We start from the raw sequence: 18,017 nt of genomic DNA, 5'->3' as shown, positions 1-18,017 counted from the left end.
CTTGGTACAGATGAATGCTATCAAAGCATTAGAACAGCTCATTTTTTATTCAGCTATGCTAAGGAGGAGAGAGATTACAGACTTTTAAATCCCCTCTACTTGAGCAATGATTACCAAAACTAGATTACTCTATATTACCTTCTTGGGGATCACTGAAGTTAAGAAAAGAGAAATCAGCATGGTAAAAGAGTGAAAGCGAGGAAGAGAGAGAGGCAGAGGGGGAGGAGAGATCAAGATAATTCATACTCTGTGTAACCTGTTTCTGGATGGATATGAGTATTTGCCCAAGTAACCAACCAGTTTGATAAGCATCCAGTTTGATGTGACAACATAGGTTCATCATTTGCAACAAATGTACTCTTTGGTGATGGATGTTGATTTTTTCAGGGATAGGGAAGCAGAACTTTATTTTTTAAAAATCACCATATGATTCAAATAATTCTCTAGTCATAAAAGTTATAACTAGAGAGTCAATCAAAATGTGGTCTTTCTAAAAATATTTTATTGCTTCTAAAAATGAGAAATGATTTTGCTGCTTCTTTCTCTCTAGAGTTCTTCATAGCATACACATTTGCCGTTTCCTTGGATATTTTGAGCTTACTAGTAATGTTTCGGTTCATCTTTTCTGTGAGCCCAAAGTGCCAGATTTCTGAGCTTTATAAATTGTGAACGAGGACCTGATGTCACATTTCTGAAACATCAGGATTTAAAAAATTGATTTTTTTCCATTAATATTCCATGCGTTATATTAAATCCAAACTCTCTTGGCTATTTCCAGATTTTGGTATTATAAAAACATGATGTATCTGACTTTCATTATTAAATGAATATTTGATTCATATGACATGTATGAGAAAAAATAAGAAAGAGCTAAAAAAGAAATTTGTATTGAAAGAAAATATATATAAACATTATCAAGGAAGCAACTTAACCTTCTATTACAAAACATCTTAACTACAATACTATGCCTACCAATGTCACAAATACACTTTTTTTACAGGTTTTTGGTACTTTTATGTGTGTAAAGGCATACACACAAGCAAAGAAAATAATGTAGACTAGTAGTTAAGGGTTAGGACTAAGAGATGGAGAAACTTGTTCATTGATCAATTATCAGATCGTGGACAAATTACCTAAGCTGGCGGGGAGAAAAAGGAAGGGGGGTAAGGGTTGAAAAATTACCTATTGGGTACAATATTCACTCTTCAGGTGATGGGTGCACTGGAAGCCCAAACTTCACCATTACACAATATATCCATGTAGCAAACTTGCACATGTACCTCCTGAGTCTATAAATATTAGGAAAATCACTTAGCCTCAAAACTATGGCAATCGTAAAATGATCCAGGGGTGGAGCCAAGGGATGAGTAGGTGAAGCACAGAGACTTTTTAGGGCAGTGAAAATAGTCTTTATGATGCTTTAATGATGACTATTTGTCACTATACATTTGTCCAAACCTATAGAATGTACACTACTAAGAGTGAACTCTAAGGTAAAATATGGACTTTGAATGATTATGATGTGACAATGTAGGTTCATCAATTGCAACAAATGTACTCTTTGGTGATGGATGATGATCATGTGGGAGGCTATGCATGTGTGCAGGCAGGAGTGTATGGAAAATCACTGTACTTCCTCTCAATTTTACTGTAAACCTAAAACTGCTCTTAAAAAAATAAAATTAAAAAATAAAAATAATAGGTTGTAGGTTCCAAGATGGCCGAATAGGAAGAGCTCCAGTCTACAGCTCCCAGCGTGAGTGACACAGAAGACGAGTGATTTCTACATTTCCAACTGAGCAAAGAGCACACCAGGAGATTATATCCCGCTCATGGCTTGGAGGGTCCCACACCCACGGAGCCTTGCTCACTGCTAGCACAGCAGTCTGAGATGGAACTGAAAGGTGATGGCAGCCAGGCTGAGGGAGGGGTGCCCACCATTGCTGAGGCTTGAGTAGGTAAACAAAGCAGCCAGGAAGCTCGAACTGGGTGGAGCCCACCGCAGCTCAAGGAGGCCTGCCTGCCTCTATAGACTCAACCTCTGGGGGCAGGGCATAGCTGAACAAAAGGCAGCAGAAAATTCTGCAGACTTAAATGTCCCTGTCTGATAGCTTTGAAGAGAGTAGTGGTTCTCCCAGCACAGAGTTTGAGATCTGAGAAAGGACAAACTGCCTCTTCAAGTGGGTCCCTGACCCCCGAGTAGCCTAAATGGGAGGCACCTCCCAGTAGGGGCCAACTGACACCTCATATAGCCCGGTGCCCCTCTGAGACAAAGCTTCCAGAGGAAGGATCCGACAGCAACATTGGCTGTTCTGCAATATTTGCTGTTCTGCAGCCTCCGCTGGTGATACCCAGGCAAACAGTGTCTGCAGTGGACCTCCAGCAAACTCCAACAGACCTGCAGCTGAGGGTTCTGACTCTTAGAAGGAAAACTAACAAACAGAAAGGACATCCACACAAAAACCCCATCTGCACGTCACCATCATCAAAAACCAAAGGTAGACAAAACCACAAAGATGGGGAGAAACCAGAGCAGAAAAGCTAAAAATTCTAAAAATCAGAGGACCTCTTCTCCTCCAAAGGAACACAGCTCCTCGCCAGCAACAGAACGAAGCTGGATGGAGAATGACTTTGACAAGTTGACAGAAGTAGGCTTCAGACCATCGGTAATAACACACTTCTCCAAGCTAAAGGAGGATGTTTGAGCCCATTGCAAAGAAGCTAAAAACCCTGAAAAACGGTTAGACGAATGGCTAACTAGAATAAACAGCGTAAAGAAGATCTTAAATGACCTGATGGAGCTGAAAACCATGACATTAGAACTACATGATGCATGCACAAGCTCCAGTAGCCAATTCGATCAACTAGAAGACAGGGTATCAGTGACTGAAGATCAAATGAATGAAATGAAGCAAGAAGAGAAGTTTAGAGAAAAAATAGTAAAAATAAATGAAAAAAGCCTCCAAGAAATATGGGACTATGTGAAAAGACCAAATCTACATCTGATTGGTGTACCTGAAAGTGACGGGGAGAATGGAACCAACTTGGAAAACATTCTTCAGGATATTATCCAGGAAAACTTCCACAACCTAGGGAGGCAGGCCAACATTGAAATTCAGGAAATACAGAGAACACCACAAAGATATTCCTAAAGAAGAGCAACTCCAAGACACATAATTGTCAGATTCACCAAAGTTGAAATGAAGGAAAAAATCTTAAGGGCAGCTAGAGAGAAAGGTCGGGTTATCCACAAAGGGCAGCCCATCAGACTAACAGAGGATCTCTCGGCAGAAACCCTACAAGCCAGAAGAGAGTGGGGGCCAATATTCAACATTCTTCAAGAAAAGAATTTTAAACCCAGAATTTCATATCCAGCCAAACTAAGCTTCATAAGTGAAAGAGAAATAAAATCCCTTACAGACAAGCAAATGCTGAGAGATTTTGTCACCACCCAGGCCTGCCCTAAAAGAGCTCCTGAAGGAAGCACTAAACATGGAAAGGAACAACCGGTACCAGCCACTGCAAAAACATGCCAAAGTGTAAAGACCATTGAGGCTAGGAAGAAAATGCGTCAACTAAAGAGCAAAATAACCAGCTAACATTGTAATGACAGGATCAAATTCACACATAACAATATTAATTTTAAATGTAAATGGACAAAATGCTCCAATTAAAAGACACAGACTGGCAAGTTGGATAAAGAGTCAAGACCCATCAGTGTGTTGTATTGAGGAGACCCATCTCACATGCAGAGAAACACATAGGCCCAAAATAAAGGGATGGAGGAAGATCTACCAAAAATGGAAAGCAAAAAAAAAGCAGGGGTTGCAATCCTAGTCTCTGATAAAACAGACTTTAAACCAACAAAGATCAGAAGAGACAAAGAAGGCCATTACATAATGGTAAAGGGATCAATTCAACAAGAAGAGCTAACTATCCTAAATATATATGCACCCAACACAGGAGCACCCAGATTCATAAAGCAAGGCCTGAGAGACCTACAAAGAGACTTAGACTCCTACACAATAATAATGGGAGACTTTAATACCCCACTGTCAACGTTAGACAGATTGAGACAGAAAGTTAACAAGGATATCCAGGAATTGAACTCAGCTCTGTACCAAGCAGACCTAACAGACATCTACAGAACTCTCCACCCCAAATCAACAGAATATACATTCTTCTCAGCACCACACCACACTTATTCCAAAATTGACCCCATAGTTGGAAGTAAAGCACTCCTCAGCAAATGTAAAAGAACAGAAATTATAACAAACTGTCTCTCAGACCACAGTGCAATCAAACTAGAACTCAGGATTAAGAAACTCACTCAAAACCACTCAACTACATGGAAACTGAACAACCTGCTCCTGAATGACTACTGGGTACATAATGAAATGAAGGCAGAAATAAAGATGTTCTTTGAAACCAATGAGAACAAAGACACAACACACCACAATCTCTGGGACACATTTAAAGCAGTGTGTAGAGGAAACTTATAGCACTAAATGCCCACAAGAGAAAGCAGGAAAGATTTAAAATCAACACCCTAACATCACAATTAAAAGAACTAGAGAAGAAGGGCAAACACATTCAAAAGCTAGCAGAAGGCAAGAAATAACAAAGATCAGAGCAGAACTGAAGGAGACAGAGACACAAAAAACCCTTCAAAAAATCAATGAATCCAGGAGCTGGTTTTTTGAAAAGATCAACAAAATTGACAGACCGCTAGCAAGACTAAGAAAGAAGACGAGAAGAATCAAATAAACACACAAAAAAACAAGATAAAGGGCTATCACCACTGATCTCACAGAAATACAAACTACCATCAGAGAATACTATAAACATCTCTATGCAAATAACTAGAAAATCTAGAAGAAATGGATAAATTCCTGGACACATACACCCTCCCAAGACTAAACCAGGAAGAAGTTGAATCTCTGAATAGACCAATAACAGGCTCTGAAATTGAGGCAATAATTAATAGCCTACCAACCAAAAAAAGTCCAAGACCAGATGGATTCACAGCCGAATTCTACCAGAGGTACAAGGAGGAGCTGGTACCATTCCTTCTGAAACTATTCCAATCAATAGAAGAACACGGAATCCTCCTTAACTCATTTTATGAGGCCAGCATCATCCTGATACCAAAGCCTGGCAGAGACACAACAAAAAAAGAGAATTTTAGACCAATATCCCGATGAACATCGATGCAAAAATCCTCAACAAAATAATGGCAAACCGAATCCAGCAGCACATCAAAAAGCTTTTCCACCATGATCAAGTGGGCTTCATCCCTGGGATGCAAGGCTGTTTCAACATACACAAATCAATAAACGTAATCCAGCATATAAACAGAACCAATGAAAAAACCACATGATTATTTCAATAGATGCAGAAAAGGCCTTTGACAAAATTCAACAGTGCTTCATGCTAAAAACTCTCAATAAACTATGTATTGACAGGATGTCTCTAAAAATAATAAGAGCTACTTATGATAAACCCACAGCCAATATCATACTGAATAGGCAAAAACTGGAAGCATTCCCTTTGAAAACTGGCACAAGACAGGGATGCCCGCTCTCGCCACTCCTATTCAACATAGTGTTGGAAGTTCTGGCCAGGGCAATCAGGCAGGAGAAAGAAATAAAGGGTATTCAATTAGGAAAAGAGGAAGTCAAATTGTCCCTGTTTGCAGATGACATGATTGTATATTTAGAAAACCCCATCATCGGGCATGGTGGCGGGCAACTGTAGTCCGAGCTACTCGGGAGGGTGAGGCAGGAGAATGGCGTGAACCCGAGAGGCGGAGCTTGCAGTGAGCCGAGATTGCGACACTGCACTCCAGCCTGGGCGACAGAGCCAGACTCCGTCTCAAAAAAAAAAAAAGAAAGAGAAAACCCCACCTTCTCAGCCCAAAATCTACTTAAGCTGATAAGCAACTTCAGCAAAGTCCCAGGATACAAAATCACTGTGCAAAAATCACAAGCATCCCTATACACCAATAACAGACAGAGAGCAAAATCATGAGTGAACTCCCATTCACAATTGCTTCAAAGAGAATAAAATACCTAGAAATCCAACTTACAAGGGATGTGAAGGACCTCTTCAAGGAAAGCTACAAATCACTGCTCAACGAAATAAAAGAGGACACAAACAAATGGAAGAACATTCCATGCTTATGGAGAGGAAAAATCAATATGGTGAAAATGGCCATACTGCCCAAGGTAATTTATAGATTCAATGCCATCCCCATCAAGCTACCAATGACTTTCTTCACAGAATTGGAAAAAACTTTAAAGTTTTTTAAAGTTTAAAGTTCATATGGAACCAAAAAAGGGCCCGCATTGCCAAGACAATCCTAAGCCAAAAGAACAAAGCTGAAAGCATCACACTACCTGACTTCAAACTATACTACAAGGCTACAGTAACCAAAACAGCATGGTACTGGTACCAAAACAGAGATATAGACCAATGGAACAGAATAGAGCCCTCAGAAATAATACCACATATCTACAACCATCTGATTTTGACAAACCTGACAAAAACAAGAAATGGGGAAAGGATTCCCTATTTAATAAATGGTGCTGGGAAAACTGGCTAGCCATATGTAGAAAGCTGAAACTGGATCCCTTCCTTACATCTTATATAAAAATTAATTCGAGATGGATTAAAGACTTAAATGTTAGACCTAAAACCATAAAAACCCTAGAAGAAAACCTAGGCAATACCATTCGGGACATAGGCATGGGCAAGGACTTCATGTCTAAAACACCAAAAGCAATGGCAACAAAAGCCAGAATTGGCAAATGAGATCTAATTAAACTAAAGAGCTTCTGCACAGCAAAAGAAACCACCATCAGGATGAGCAGGCAACCTACAGAATGGGAGAACATTTTTGCAATCTACCCATCTGACAAAGGGCTAATATCCAAAATCTACAAAGAACTTAAACAAAGTTACAAGAAAAAATCAAACAACCCCATTAAAAAGTGGGCGAAGGATATGAATAGACACTTCTCAAAAGAAGACATTTGTGCAGTCAAAAGACACATGAAAAAATATTCATCATCACTTGCCATCAGAGAAATGCAAATCAAAACTACAATGAGATATCATATCACACCAGTTAGAATGGTGATCATTAAAAAGTCAGGAAACAACAGGTGCTGGAGAGGATGTGGAGAAATAGGAACACTTTTACACTGTTGGTAGGACTGTAAACTAGTTCAACCATTGTGGAAGACAGTGTGGTGATTCCTCAAGGATCTAGAACTAGAAATACCATTTGACCCAGCCATCCCATTACTGGGTATATACCCAAAGGATTATAAATCATGCTGCTATAAAGACACATGCACACGTATGTTTATTGCAGCACTATTCACAATAGCAAAGACTTGGAACCAACCCAAATGTCCATCAATGATAGACTGGATTAAGAAAATGTGGCACATATACACCAGGAAATACTATGCAGCCATAAAAAAGGATGAGTTCATGTCTTTTTTAGGGACATGGATGAAACTGGAAAACATCATTCTGAGCAAACTATCGCAAAGACAAAAAAACAAACACCACATGTTCTCACTCATAGGTGGGAATTGAACAATGAGAACACTTAAGACACAGGACGGTGAACATCACACACCAGGGCCTGTTGTGCGGTGGGGGTGGGGGGAGGGATAGCATTAGGAGATATACCTAAAGTAAATGACAAGTTAATGGGTGCAGCACACCAATATGGCACATGTATACATATGTAACAAACCTGCACGTTGTGCACATGCACCCTAGAACTTAAAGTATAATAATAATAATAAATAATAAAAAAATTAAATCCATAAAATCTTTTTTGAATCTTATAATTTTAACTATTACTTTGATGATAGAAATCTTCCATTTAAGGAAAAAATTATTTTACTGATAATGTAACGTGAATTTAATTAATAAAAAAATTTACTTCAAAAAAAAAGAATCAGGAGTTAAATAGATATATCCCTGGGAAATGCAATTTTAGAGATGTTTATCCATGTCTACATTTCATTAATTATTTATAAAGTAGGGTTTTGAGGCAGAAACAATTTTTCCATCATATCTGTAACCATAAAAGATTAAAGATGCATTCATTTTTTTCCAACTTTTATTTTAAGTTCCAGGGGATGTGTTCATTTTTAATTAAGTGGAAATAATGCTTGAACCATGAATAAAGATACAGATTCATTTGAAAATAAAAATAAACAAAAATAAAAATAATGAAAAAAGAAAATTACTTAGCCTCTTTGTGCTCAGTTTCCTTATCTGTTAAATGTCAGAATAAAGTGACACACCTATTTATGAGAATCAAATAAGAAAATGCATATAAAGAACTTAGTGCATTGCTTGCCCATAAGAAACATTAACATATAGTTATTATTTATTACTGAGGAAGTTGAAAATGAGGCTTTATACAGTATTAACACAACTGTGTCTCTTAGAACAAATTTGAGAGCAAGCTGTCTAGGTTAGGGCAAAGCTAATTTGCAAAAAGAATAATTCAGACCAAAAAGGAAATCTTTCGAATGAAAAATCCAGAGGACTTGAAGCCTAAATGAATGAACACCAAGATTCAATAGTCTTTTCCCTCATTCTCTCATTCTTTCTCTCCTGTTGATTACCTTCTCTTTGTCTTCTTTTCCCTTGGCTTCCAATGAGACATTGTTCTCTGGGTCTCCTCCCAGAACTCTGATGATTTCTCTTTTTCCTTTCTTTCACTCCTGAAATGTATATGATCCAAGTTTTTGCCCTTAACATTTTCACTTCTCTTTCTCAACTACCTTATTCCTTTGAACAATCTATTCAATCCCCTGTCTTCAGTTGACACTTCTAGAGACATGGCCTCCAAACCTGAAATCCAGGCCAAGTTCTCTCTTTTATATTTCAGCTGTGTATTTCCAGTTGCTTCCTGAAGCTGTCCACATATCCCATCTGCCCTTCACACTCAGTATATTTTCCCCCTTCTCCCTTCATCCAGCTCCTCCTCTTGACTTCTCCAGTTTTACTAATAGTGTGGCCATCTTCCAGGGCATCAAGATTTAAAATTCTGGTATCACCTCTGTATTAATCCATTCTCACATTGCTATAAAGAAATGCCTGAGACTGAGTAATTTATAAGAAAAGAAATTTAATTGGCTCATGATTCTGCAGGCTGTACAGAAAGCATGGTGGCAGCTGCTTCTGGGGAGGCCTCAGGGAGCTTTTACTCATGTCAGGAGGCAAAGTGGCAGCAGGTGCTTCACATTGTGAAAGCAGGCGCAAGAGAGAGACAGCAATGTGCCATGTAGTTTTAAACAGCCAGATCTCCCAAGAAGTCCCTATCAAGAGGGCAGCACCAAGAGGATGGGAGCTAAACCATTCATGAGAAATCCATCTCCGTAATCTGATCACCTCCCACCAGGCCCTGCCTCCATTACTGGGGATTACAATTCAACATGAGATTTGAGTAGGGACACATATCCAAACTACATCAAGCCTCTCACTTTTTTCTCTTATCCTCCATCCCCAAGTTTTAGCTAAATTCTATACATTTCAATTCTGCAATATATTTCTAAATAATTCTTATCTCTGTTAACCCTTCCTCTGTCGTTTAGTCCTTATCACCCTTCAACTATGATATTAGAAAGGCCTCCTATAAGTCTCTCTCCCTCAGAATATCCTCCAGTCCTAAACCACTTTACAGTATATTCTTCCTGCTCACAATTCTGAATAAACTACTTGCCTGCTCAAAAACATTCATTAGCTCTTCACTATCTATTATAGAGCCAACCCCCTTTTCTCTACCGTTCTCAAGCTCCTATGACATGGCCAATATCCTATTTTTCCAACTTTTTTTCTGCCTACTCTTCTTAATGACTCCTCTACTCCAGCCCAATTGAATGACTTGCTCATTGCAATCTATACTCTGACATTTTTAACATCACAATTTGTTCACACCTTCTGCTCTCTTGAATTTCTTTCCTCATCTCTGAAGAGAGCTTTATTTCCATCACATGTGCAAGTAACCTCTCATCCCCTCTGACTTTCTCAAACCATCCACAATTCTTTTGCAATACTTTTCATTTTATACTTTCTATTCTAGTCATTTGGGTATGTCTTATCCTACATACGAACTGTAAGTCAATAAGGACAGGATCTATAAATGATGCAATTTTGTATCCACCATTATCACCAGCACAGGGCTTTCCACATACTACCTCATCAACAATTTATGTTGATTGCCAAAATAGTTATGAAAAGCCCTTCTTTGATTCAGTTAGCATAAATTTAATTGGCAGTTCAGGATCCTATTTTCCTAAATGAGAGTACAGCATCACTGAAGTATTGTATGGTCCTTGCACAGCCTACTGAGAATTACTGTAAAATAAGCAGGGAGACATTGCCACAAAAATGCATTCAACAAAACCAATCGACACAAGCACAATCTTGGTGGCAAGATGACACAAGAGTCAAGGAAATCCCACAATTATCCTTGCAAAAATCTCTCCTCACAGCTCTCAGCTCTAAATGCAGCATTAATTGGTAGCATTGACAAAATTAATTTGGCAAATCCCTCTGAAGCTTGTTCATTTAAGCTTTCTGTGATACTGTTGGGTTTTAGCCCTTAATTAAATTTATGTGCTGATATGTTAAATCCTTTTCATTTCTGTTTAACCCCCTATTCACGGAGGTTTTCTTCCAATATCATATGAAAACCTAGCTGAATCAAAAAGCAAAGTTTACAGAAGACTGTAGTTTTTCTGACTTTCTAGTTGCACTTGTAGAATTAGAATTTGAAGTCTATATAAGAAATCCCAAATGGGGAAATTAACATGCAATTTTTCCTAAGCATCTCCCCGTGCCTGAAGGGCTGAACTCCAGTTCCTGTGTTTTGATGAATTACATTACAAATTAGCCCAATCATCTCACTATCAAATTTGCAGGTTTTATTCCTTCTTTGGAACTTACAGAGATTAAAAATAAATTTTAGTTTCTTCCAACATAGTTTCCAAATTTACTGCTCCTCTTTCCTTCACATCTGACACTAAACCAAGCCAAAGGCAGAGTACTCCCTCCCTGGTGATGTCCCTGCTCATCCATCACGCCTTGCTGATGCAATCCAGTTCCATAAGCTGTCTTCGGGGAGCATGGGTGGCCAACAGAAATGAGCCCATGAGTGAATGGAAGAATTGTGTAAGACTCTGTCTTTTGTGTAGGGAAAGTGCCAGGGCATGTTTGCCAGATCTCCCGGATGCTTTGTGTGGATAGTTTTAATCTCCTTTTCAAACAGAAGAAGTCAAGTTCTTCCTTTAAATATTTATTTCCACAGTTTTTCTGTCTTTGTTTTGCACATAAGCTTAATTTATGTGTACCTTTTAAGATCTTGGTTAAAATATTCTCCCGAAAGAATACTAGGTTCATACTAGGGAAGTAGACACATAATGAAAAATTATCCAAAAAGCTTGGTTAACTTCTTTTTCCCAATATACACACTTTCTATTAGCAAAGAAACTAAGCTAGACTGAAAATAGTGTTCAATTTGGTTTACCTAATTATTCAATTTCCATTTTAATTTTCCTAGTAAAAACTTCATCATAATGTGTATTCTGTTGTATTTCTAACACATTAGCACATCTATAAGATATAGATCTATGTAGATTTCACTTTCAAATATCACATTTTGACTATATAAAAACTAAATGATATTTAGAGAGGGTATTTGATAATATAAGGTTTTACTTGCACATTTGGTAAGTGTTAACTTTGTTATTGTTTGAGTTTTCTTTTAATAAGCTGTTAGCTATGCAGCTGGGAGCCCTAGCAGATGCAATTTCTCCTTCAACAGGGACAAAAAGCAGCTAGATGCTCTACACAGGCATTGGAAAGGTCATCCAAAGCATATTTTAAGAGCCTCTATTAGTTTTGCAGGTTTTTGTCATGCTGAACCTTGTGCTTGGAGATAAAAAAATTAGAGATTTTTGTTTTACTGGTCAAAGCATTCACTCCTCTGATACAGACAGCACCAATAAGGGGTGGGTCGATTTGCGTGAGGAGCCAATGATTTTCTATAATAGAAAGGACCACAGTCCTATTACCTGTCACCAACTTCCTCTCCATAAAAGTCAGGGTAGATTTAGATGGCCTCATGAGGCAACGATGAACAACAAGACTCCTAAAATACAGGTAAAACAAGGGTAGAGAGTGAAGGGAGAGAGCAAGTCCTGGACTGAATCAGGGCATCATCTGTGCTTCTGAGTCTCAGGGTGTGGTAGGCATGAGAATACACCTGGTGGGCTTCCAACCACAAAAAGTGTGTTTGACTGAGGCCCCAGCCACCACTCCCTGAAACCTATCCCTGCATTTGTGCCATGGCCACATCTCTCATAGGCTGCTTCCTGCCAATGACCTGTCTCCAGGGGACGTGAGACTTCTTTTTGGCTGACTTGGCTAGAGAACTCCCCTAAAGTTTCCTGAGACGATATAGAAATCTAGGCGGCTTGCAGCCAACCTTCTCTCCCTCTCTCCTTCACTTGAGGTCAGACTAGCATCACATTCTGATGACTGGCTCAACTCTCTTCCTACTTCTTTTACATGCAGGCATTTCCTCCTAATAAAATCCTTGCCTGTTTTGTTCCATCTTAGCATCTGCTTCTTGGAGGACTCAGATTAACATGCACAGTACAAGTGCTGAACCTGTCTTGACCTACTTCGAGTCATTTGTGTCCCAGGAACTATTAGAATGAACCTTATGAAACTGCCAACATCCAACCATTGGTGACTTACAAAAATAACAATTTCATATAGTTCAACCTAATAGTAGTGCAGAATGCTGACAGGGTTGAAACACTGGAGACTCAGTTCTCTAAAGCACAGAGTTTCTTTGAGACTGAAATAAGAATCTACATTCCTTCCCCTGAAAGGGCTGAATCTGGGACAGTTAGCCCAGTGCCTGAGCTCAGGATAGCTTTGACCCAGGAAATCTGATGCTTTCCATTGCCCATGTTTCCCTCAGGATACAGCTTGGCTGCTTAATCAGCCTTACTCACTGGCTTATTTCCACTGGAGCCCAGCTCATCGTCATGACTCACCTGAAAGATGATGGACATCAAAACTTGTCCTGATTCTCTCCTGTAGGCAGCCTTTGCCCCCATGGAAATGCTTTGGCTCAGGAATTGATAGAACTTTGACCTTGAAGGCACTGATAAGTTTGTGGGGAATTCTTTTTAAAATCAGAGGCAGCCTAGAAACTGGGGGAGTCCACCTTTCCAGAAGCAAGCAGGATTGATTCAGAACTCAGAATGACTGCTGCACAGTGGACTCTGCACCACCTTTCTTGTTTCCAACACAGCCCAGGAAGGCAGCTTCTACTCTGGAGACAGGAACCCTCTGCCACAGCTGGCATACTGAACCAGGAATAAATCAGAGAATTCTCTTCCACTTTCCAGACCACTGAAAATAGGGACTCATAAGAGTATAAAAGAAAAATAATTGGACCTTGGAGGGGAATATACTGGACTTCTTGCTCCTATTGGCCATGGTAGTCCAGTCTGGCTTGACTAGGGCACGCAACTTGCCCCTCAAATTCAATACGCCAACTACACATAGTAAAAATGTTAATAGTAAGAATTTACCTTTCAGTGAAGAAATTAATTTTCACAATTATTAAAACTAATTCAAATTGTAATTTAAAGTATGAAGATTTTTCTATTCAAATATCTTTATGTTTCTGAAACTTTAGCTTGTAAAATTAGGTAACCACGTAACTTTTATTCTCAAATGCTATGAGAAAAGTCTTGCTTTTTCCCCAATAATTTCCTTTTTATTAAAGAAGAAAAATAACTTTACATGCAATTAATTTGAGAGCTTTAATATAAAAAATAGCCTTCATTTACTGAGCACTTACTATCTGCTAAAATAAAGCTAGGAACTATTGAATACTAGAGTTCTGCCAGTAGTTCTGACTCAGTGCTATGAAATGAATAGAATAAAATCACTATTCCTTTTATACTTCATATGTTTCTTCTATGCATATTGTATATTTCTTCTATGCAACTTGAAACACTGCCATCATATTTTGTATTGCACTTTACATAAACATCTCTAATTTATCATAAGCCTTTCATAAACATTATTTTTCCATTGTGTGGACATTATGTTTAACCCTTCCTTATGTTTAGACACTCAGATTGTTTCACATTTTTTTTGCCTCAGCTCAACATATAATCATTCTCAAGAGTAGAATTACTGGGTTAAAGATTACAGTAGTCCCCCTCTTATCCACTGGAGATAAGTGGATGGTTGAAACCAGATATAGTACAGAACCCCATATATACTGTTTTTTCCTATACGAACATACATATGATAAAGTTTCATATAAAAATTAGGAACAGTAAAAGATTAACAACTATTAAAAAAAAGAAAAATTATAACAATATGCCAGCATCACTACTTTTGCACTTTGAAGCAATTATTAAGTAAAATAAAGGTTATTTGAACACAAGCACTGAGATATCACAACAGTCAATCTGACACCAAAACGGCTACTAGGTAACTAACAAGTAGTGTCTACAGGGTGGATACACTAGACAAAGGGATTATTCACATCCCAGGTAGGACAGAATGGGATGGCAGAAATTTGATCATGTTCCTCAGAATGGCTTACAATTTAAAACTTATGAATTGTTTATTTCTGGAATTTTCCATTTAATATTTTCAGATTGTGGTTGACCAAGGGTAACTGAAACCACAGAAATTAAAACCTTGGATAAGGAAGGACTACTGCATTAACATTTTTAGACTCAATATGCATCTTCAAATTTATTTTACATTTTTATCAGCAGCATATGAATGTTCCTGTTGGAGACCTTGAATAATGTGGGAGATCATAAGATATTCTTCAGATAAACATCTTTTCTAATGTGAAGTAAAAAATGGTATTTCATTTAAATTTCCATTACCATACCAATAATATTTGACATTTTTCACAACTTTGTTAAATAATGTTTATCTCTATTCTTTAGAGTAACTCCAGAGTTCTTACTTTCAAATGCTCAAAAGTCATCTCTGTAATCCTCTTGAAAATTTTCATCAGTTACTTCAAATAGACAGGCTTAAATAGGACTGTTATCTATTCTATATCACTTAACTCTTTTGCCTCAGTCTAGTTGCTGTAGTGGAATTTACTTTAATAAATGGACCAGGATATTTACATAGTTCTCTCTCTCTCTTTCTGTGCATGTGTGTGTGTGTGTGTATGTGCATGTGTGTGTGTGAGAAAGAGACAGAGAGAGGCTAAACTTTAGTCTTCTCTCAAATCATAGGAATCACTGACTTCTGTCACAATCATAAGTAACTCATAACTAAATTTATTTTCCTTCTCAAATTACATTATCCTTGTTACTTCTCACATTTTCCATTTTATCCTAAAAGTTTCTTACATCATTATCACCAGATATATAGTAAAAATCCCCAATATTAAAAATTAACAAACCATGATTCAAGTTGATTTTTAAATATTTTCTCCCTAATGATGTATGTCTTGGTGAAGAGAATTTGATATGGTAGTTTTTTTTTTCTAAGATTAACTAACTCAATTCATTCTCTCCAGATTGGATTGGAAGTTGGATGAAACACTATAAATCAATGTGGAAAAATAATTTTGCCAAATTTCAATCTCAATCAGTCTCCATGAAAACTTTATCCTTTTGCTGTTTCAATATATTTGTATGGTATTTTTAAGTTGTTAAAAGTTTATTTATTTTAAAGGCTCAATGGGCTTCCTGGATGCCAAATCACTTTTTAAAAACATTTTGATGATACAAACTAAAATGAATTAAAAACACATGGAATCACTGTTCTCTAAAATATATGTGTTTTCAAAGTTTAGAGAAAGAGGGTGGGAAGAGGTGCTTGGCAGCATGTTTGGGTTTTAGAAAATCCGAAATTTTTGAAAAATTGTTCCAGATGTTGATGAACCCCTTGGTTCCCCTAAGTTTCACCCAAACCTGCTATAAATAAAGATAATTATAAACAGCAATAAACTAAGGTTAAGGCAGTATGTAACGGATGCCATAGGAATCATAATTAATTTGAATTAACTCTGAATTGAATTTAGCCACAGATAATACAGATGTGGATGGGTTGTAAATACCATTAAGAAAAGTAAAGTTTTACGTACACTTACATAAATGAAATAGGAAAATAAAAACAGAACTATTTCACACAAAAAACCTGACAGCATCCTGGCATTTCATCCTGGCATTCAGAAGCTCTCATTATCTAGCCCAGTGGTTCTTCAGACAGGATGATAAATATCCCATGGAGGATGTTTGGAAATTTGTGGGACATTTTTGGTTGTCACAATGACTGGAAAGAGCTACTGCCTTTTATTACTCAGTGGCCAAGGATGATTAACATCCTGAAATTCCCATAAAATGAGGAAATATTCACCCAAGTAACCACGGTGTCCCCACCAGTCTCACCAGTCCTCTCTGACCCCTATATTTGTGTCTCACCAACTTTCCTGACATCCCCCACAAATCACAGCCAACCTGCCTTTGTGTTTTTCCTCTACTGTTCCTTTACTTGGAATTTTTTACATCTCCTCTTCAATAAGCCACATCTAGTATTATCTTCCAGCAAGACTCTTTTTCACTTCAGGTCTTTCCTATGGAAGACTGACTTCCATAGTAAATTTTTTATCTTCTCCTGAGGTCTTTCAATAGCCTCATCCTCACTATTTCATATTCCCCAATTACATCTAATACAGGGTAGTTTGTGTACACAAAAACAGCTTAATTAACTACTGCTAAACTTTTTATCAAGATTGTGGACTTGTATAGACTCAGCTATAGTTTAACTTTCTTATTTGACTTTATTGAAAGAACTCTGCCGTGTGTTCACATGCACACATATATGTATGTCTGATGATATAGGTATAAATATAGACAGACACAGATACAGATATAGATTAGATACATTCCTATAAACATACAAACCACTGACCTCTCATTTAAGGATGGCATTGTTTAAGTAGAATTTGTCCTCTTGGTTCTATTCCTTTGATAAGCACTTACCTCTGATTCTCATGGTTTTGCCTCTTACTAGTTACACTACAACAGTAGAAAATCTTTAGAACCTTGAAGGGCAGCCAGGAAGAGTTGACTTGGAAAAATATAATCTAATACCAATGGGAGGAAATAATTCCCACAGACGTTTGCTGGAAGATATGAACTATACATCTGGACTGCAGTAATGCTTTGGAATGACTAAGGAGAGTTTCATCTTTCAAGCCAGTGAGAGCTGTACTAGAAAGTATGCTTTCAAATAGCCCTTCCCTGGTTTCATGGAACAAGACTTAGGGATTCAGATAAAAAATGAATAACTGCTACTTTAATTTAGGGCTGATATCACTTTATGGTGATGTTTAGTACGCGCAGCCTGTGTCTCAAGAACATGTGACTTTTGAATGACCTCATCCCCATCACTGGAGGTTTCCTGCTCCCTGGACCCCTGCCAAGTGCCCCCTTCCACCATAGCAGCTGTCACCAAGAGCGGCCTACAGTCCCTCTCAGCCTCAACCCACCTATAGCCTTAGAGTGGGCACAGAATTGAAAGCTCAAAAGATTCAAGATTTCATTTCAGAATGCAAAAGGGAAGAAGTGTACTTTCTGTGGACAAATAAGTCTACTGGTAACACTTTCTTTATTCTCTATGTGAAATAACAGGCTAATATGAAAACTTATAGCAATATAACAATCTTTTATTAATAAAAATGCCAAAAATAACACCATTAACACCATTGCTTTTTCTGACTATGTAAGTATCACATCTATTATTTTAAAATAAGAAATGCACAAAGATGGCAAAATAATTTGGAAATTATTTCTAATTCTACCATGTATAAATTATCACTGAATATTTTGGTAAACATTCATCCAGAGTTTATATTAATACACACACACACACACATACACATACACACACACACATATGTGAAATCC

General features: G+C 37.8%; 1 long non-coding RNA gene across 1 annotated transcript in view; it reads right to left on the bottom strand.

Annotated features, from left to right (window-relative positions):
* The window catches only part of LOC101928516 (uncharacterized), a 621,277-nt gene extending 604,049 nt beyond the window's left edge, over positions 1–17,228 (bottom strand). Inside the window, exon 1 of the long non-coding RNA NR_110856.1 lies at positions 17,091–17,228. This is a non-coding gene — a long non-coding RNA (uncharacterized LOC101928516). The remainder of the gene's footprint in view (positions 1–17,090) is intronic.
* Between the last annotated feature and the right edge of the window lie 789 nt (positions 17,229–18,017).

Source organism: Homo sapiens, chromosome 6 (genome assembly GCF_000001405.40).
Source record: "Homo sapiens chromosome 6, GRCh38.p14 Primary Assembly".
NCBI lineage: Eukaryota > Metazoa > Chordata > Mammalia > Primates > Hominidae > Homo > Homo sapiens.
The sequence above is the reverse complement of the archived record's forward strand: the minus strand, read 5'-3'. Positions and strand labels throughout refer to the sequence as shown.